Below are 6185 nucleotides of genomic sequence, written 5' to 3' on the forward strand. Positions count from 1 at the left end.
CAAGCAAAAGCACACTCCCAGGGTGTGGGGGAGTGCGGCCTCTGTCTTCCGCCAGGGGAGTACATCAAAGCAGGAATTTCACAATAGCTCATTTCCTCCTAAGATCCACTTGTTAGAAAAGGGGCCCCACCAGAATAACAGGCACCATTATTTTTGTAAAACTGGGTTGAACCTCACATGCTGTTCTATAATCTATTTCTAATTAGCCATAGAGATATACTAAAGCCTAACATCAAAGTTCAGAAAGAAAAAAGAGGTTGATTCTCAGTGGCTCAAGTTTAGTAAGACTGGGAACTCAGTCAAGTCAACAGAGCCCAGCACACGGCAGAAGAGATGGAAAGATAGACATGCAGAGTTCAGGTTCTGAATGACAAGTGTCGGCATTAGGAAATCAAGCTAGGGCCAGGCGCAGTGGCCCATGCCTGTAATCCCAGCACTTTGAGAGGCCAAGGCGGGAGGACTGCTTGAGGCCAGGAGTTCAAGACCAGCCTGAGAAACAATGCAAGACCCTGTCTCTACAAAAAATAAACACAAAAATTAGCTGGGCATGGTGGCACCCCCCTGTAGGCCTGGAAGGCTGAAGTAAAAGGATAGCTTGAGCCCAGGAGTTTGAGGCTGTAGTGAGCCAAAATCATGACACTGAACTCCAACCTGGGCAACAAGCCAAGACCCTATCTCTAAAAAATATTTTTTTTAATAAAGGGAATCAGGCTAAGAGAATGGAGAACAGAAGGAAATGAATGTGGGGCAGTATGAACTAGAAGAGATTGGATTTAGGCAAAGGACTTGAGAAAGAAGCATGAGGAATGAACAGCCAAAAAGAAAATGTGATACCAATAAAAACATCATATGAAACAGCTGCTGCTGTTCCAGATCTGAATCGCTCTAAGGGTGGAGGCAGTCAGGGCCTTGGGTAAATACCGATCCCTTGTTAGAGATACAAAGGGAAAAAGAAAGGAAAAAAAAAAACCTTTGCCAAATTGTCCTTGGACAGTCTTGGGCAACCTTCTATAGGCTGGAATAATTTACAAGACATGAAAAGGTTTATGGGTTGCTTTTTTTAAAGTACAAAATAAAAATAGCTGTATTTAGTCCTGGGATGGGAGTTAAGCACAAATTCTTGAAGCTTCAATTGCCTACTTTACTGAGTAGAATGCCAAGAAAAACAGCTCTACTTCTCAAGCACAGCATTCTAACATTTGTGCATATTCGAGAAGTGGGGACACAGAGGCAGTGCTCCAATCTTTGCATTTTGCAGTGAGAATGAGAGCCACGTGGCAGAGCCAAGGAGGTCTCCAGCAGCCCTAAGGCTGCGGGTTACTCACCATTGTCCCAGCTACTGTGCTAGGCAGTTTACAGACATTATCTCATTTAATCCTAGCATGATTCTAAATATTGGTTCAACATCCTGTCTACGCCACTGGGTAAGTAGGTAAGAAAAGATGGAATACCTAACAGTCTATTTATTTGTACCCTGTAAACACTTGTTCTTCCACACAGATAAACCATTAGCTTATTTCAAATACCCACGGTCCACCTTGCTCAGCAAGTGAACATCTGCTAAAATTAGCATATAAACATATAGGGTGCCAGGATGTTATGTTTAAAAATTAAAAAAAAAAAAAAGAAATCCTTTGGCCCTGGAAGCACCTTCAAAGATTTCAGTTGTCCAGCCAAGAGGGGCTTCAAACCACTCAAATTTATTACCAAGCAAAATTGTGGAATCATTTTCAGAGGCACATTAAGAAACTAAAGTCTTGTATGATTAAATATTCTTTCAAAAAATCCCTTCCAGGATTAACAACCTCCAACATTTTCTGTGTTGCGACACTAAGAAAATTAAGATATAAAGGCTTGATCCTAGCTATTTTTAGAGGAGAGACCAGAGAGTTAATTTATTTTAAGAACCCGGATCAAGATCCACACAATTTGACATTCACTTCTTCATTCAAAGGTCACCAAAATGCATACGTCAGACGTCTGCTGCTTTTTTTTTTTAAGAATGCTGAATTTTAAACCCAATAAGTCTAAATGCAGCTCTAATATAATCTACAAATGACCTTACTAAGTCTTTCTACATCCCATAAAAGTATATTAATTGTATCATTTTATTTAAGTTCCCAACTTGCTGTGATGTATTAGCATATTAAAATTAACTCTGCAGGCCCTAATCATTTCACCTTCTGAGCCAACTTACCAGGACAAATTTGATAAAATTATAGTACCCCCTTGTGGTGTTACCTTCATACCCTACTAGGATGGTTTGCAATATTATATTTTTTAAAAATCTTCTTCCACTAAGATCAGTGGATAACAAATTAACCTTTTCTAAACTCTAATAAAATCATGGGAAAACTAAAGGAGCTATCGCCAGATTGTAAGAACCAATGAGACAGTGTATTATTTCATGATAAAGAATATTTGGAGCCATACATATTATTTTTAATGGAAGGCAAACACTTTTAAGAAATATTTTCCATAGACTGATCTATGTAGACAAATTAAAGTACACAGCTCTGAAATTACTCACTGGATTTTAGTTTGCTTTGACAGCAAATTCAAATAACTGAAGGGGAAGAAATAGTATTTTTTGACTAATAAACCAATGATAAATTCTTCTCCAATCAAGAAGAAAAGTAGGTACAATTGAAACTTTTTTTCCTCATAATTTATCCAATTTTCTTCTAGCAAGTCCAGTTTGACTGCATATTACTACCATTGCTTCCAAATACCCTTTATTATTTTTATTGTTTTTATTTTGTTAAAGCTTATAATGTCATTTAGCAAAATGAGTAAGACTTTTGGGCGTATATTTAGATACAAAGATTTTCCTGGCTTTATTTTTTTCCCCTATCTTTAGTTTGCTATTCTGTGCCTTAGAAGATCCCCTACTCCTATCTCCTGATTTCCCCACTAATTGATTTTCATCTTATTCTAGAATAGGTTTTTGTCAATAAGATAAGGAATCATGGAATAGATGAATGAGATAAGACTATCCTCAATATTCTGGAGATCCCTAAAATAATCACACTCAGGTCAGAGGATCTCGTAAGAGATCCTTTTTCTGCCGGGCGCGGTGGCTCACGCCTGTAATCCCAGCACTTTGGGAGGCCGAGGCGGGTGGATCATGAGGTCAGGAGATCGAGACCATCCTGGCTAACAAGGTGAAACCCCGTCTCTACTAAAAATACAAAAAATTAGCCGGGCGCGGTGGCGGGCGCCTGTAGTCCCAGCTACTCGGGAGGCTGAGGCAGGAGAATGGCGTGAACCCGGGAAGTGGAGCTTGCAGTGAGCCGAGATTCCGCCACTGCAGTCCGCAGTCCAGCCTGGGCGACAGAGCGAGACTCCGTCTCAAAAAAAAAAAAAAAAAAAAAAAAAAAAAGAGATCCTTTTTCTGTTTCTCACTTGAAGAAACAGGAAAAGATCTCACCTATGAGTTAATCTATTCACTGTCAACAAAATAGTAGTTTCATATTCATAGGATGTCCAAGTACCTAACTAAAGAATCAAACCAGTTCATTTCTCAGATTAGTACTACTTTGAGTTCAGCAGTACTGCAGTTTATCTCTGGCTCAAGCCAGTAAGCAACCAATTCACAATGAAAATATCAAGAAGCTTTGTTTCAATTTAGTTGAAGTTCAGGTTTAATAACAATTCTAGTTCAGTTCTGGGAATGTGGAAATATACTTACTGGTTTCTGATTCACATTCCCTTGGCTTCTTGATTATAATTTAAAATGAAGAACATTGAACTGTACTCAATTAGTTATTCAGGCAACATTTTTGAAGCCCTTGCTATGTTCCAGGGACTGTCTTGAATGTGGAAATTAAAAATGAATAGAGCAAAATTCCTGCCTTGAATATCATAGTCAGCTGGGCATGCTGGCTCACACCTGTAATCCCAGCACTTTGGGAGGCCAAGGCAGGAGGATCACTTGAGCCCAAGAGTTTGAAAACAGCCTGGACAACATACCAAGACCCCAGCTCTGTGGAAAAAAAACTACAAAAATTAGCCAGGTGTGGTGGCAAGCACCTGTGGTCCCAGCTACTTGGGAGGCTGAGGTGGGAGATTCGTTTGAGCCCAGGAGGATGAGGCTGAAGGGAGCTGGGATCACGCCATCACACTCCAGTCTGGCAGTCTGGGCAACAGAGCAAGACCCTATCTAGAAAGACAGACAGACAGACAGACAGAAAGGATAAGCATTGTCCCAAGAGCTACAGTAAGAATTTCTTATGAGGGGACATCGCCTGTGTTTAGAAAATGAGCCACTAGGAACATGGGTCTACCAAAGGGCATCCTAAAATAACAAAAAATGCTCACTAAGCCTTCTGAAGTCAGTTCCTATATTCCCTCCTCTGGGCTGAGTGCTGCTATAACGTGGAAGAGCTAGCCAAATTGTTATGCATAACAGAAAACAGAGATTGAGGGTTCCAAAGGTGCAAGCAGGTGTGCAAGAGAGAAGACACAACTGGCCCAGGGCCACAGTGCACAACTCCAAGGGGCACTATGCACATCACATTCTAAGGAGTGAACGGCACCCCTACACAGTACAACCCAGCAGCCCTGCAAAAGCCAGAGTGACTGGACATTGCCAAGCAGTCAAAGAAACCCCAGGGGCGAAGAAGAAATATGGGGAGAGAGCAGAAATGTCAAGAAGGGATTTCTGTAGTTATTTGCCTTGGAGTATGACATAAACCCTTCTTCCACCTCTCCTCCAAAATCAACTTCTCTTTTACTGTTTTCATATAAGTGAACCTGACTTTGTACTCTTGGTTCCTGTTTCCACCTAGCAGGTGCCAATGGCGGCATCGTTTGGGGTTTTGTGGTGGTGACCGAGCAGAGCTGAACCTCAAATCCTCGTGGGCCCAGGGCATAAACTGAGTGTGATGATGTTGGACCCAGAGGACGGCGGAAAGTTGATTTCTGAGTTACACAAAGTTATAATTTAAAAAGTAATAAAAGCTGATACAGAGAAGCTGTGAGAGAACAGAAAAGGAAGTACCTGTTTTGCCTCAGGGAAAGAGAAGCATCGTGGGAAAGTGACCATTAAACTGAGTCTTGAAGGATGAATAACAATTATCCAGGAAAAGAAAAATGGGGAAAGGCATTCAGCAGAGACAACAGCATGAGCAAGGAGCGGACAGTTAGGAGTAGCCAAGGAGCCCATTGTGGCTGGAGGGGAGGGGCAGTCCTGTTCCATTCCATCCCATTGGCAGATTTATTCTGGGGAACGGTCAATGAAACCCCTCAGCTAAACAACACTGACATGTCGATGGGAATGGGTGTCTCTGCATGGCTACTAGCCCATCTTTCTACATTTATAAAACTTCTTGGCCAGATGCAGTGGCTCACACCTGGAATCCCAGCACTCTGGGAGGCCAAGGTGTGCATATCACTTGAGCCCAGGAGTTTAAGACCAGCCTGGGCAACATGGCAAAACCCCGTCTCAACAAAAAATACAAAAATTAGCCAGGCATGTTAGTGTGCACTTGTAGTCCCAGCTACTCGAGAGGCTGAGAGGTGGGAGGACGGTTTGAGACGATGAGGTCAAGGCTGCAGTGAGCCATGGATCGCACTGCACACCAGCCTGGGCAACAAAGCAAGATCCTGTTGGACTTGGTCATGTGACCTGTCTTAAACAATAGAATGTGGACAGGACAGAGCTAGGTCCAAGCTGAGGCCTTGAGCAGCATCGTATCTTTCTTCCTCTTGGCACGTCTGCCCTCTGCCAGGAGAAGAGTATGCCCCACTTAGCCTTAAGTCCCAGGAAGAGGAGAGACATTGTTATGAGTTGAATTGTGTCTCCCAAAATTCACAGGTTGAAGTCCTATGCCCCAGTACCTCGGAATGTGACTGTATTTGGAGATAAAGCCCTTAAGAGGTGATTAAGTAAAAATGAGGCCTTTAGGGTGGGTCCCAATCCAATCTGACTGGTGTTCTTACAAGAAGAGGGAATTTGGACACGCACAGAGACACTGGGGACACATGGGCACAGCAAGAAGGCACCATCTGCAAGCCAAGTGGAGAGGCCTCCAAAGAAATCAACCCTGCCAACACCTTGATCTTGGACTTGCAGCCTCCAGAACCATGAGAAAATTAATTTCGGTTGTTTAAGCCACCCACTCTGTGGTATCTTGTCATGGCAGCCCTAGAAGCTAACACATGTGTAGAGCAGACCTGAGCCC

This window comes from Homo sapiens, chromosome 16, assembly GCF_000001405.40.
Source record: "Homo sapiens chromosome 16, GRCh38.p14 Primary Assembly".
In the NCBI taxonomy this organism is placed as follows: domain Eukaryota; kingdom Metazoa; phylum Chordata; class Mammalia; order Primates; family Hominidae; genus Homo; species Homo sapiens.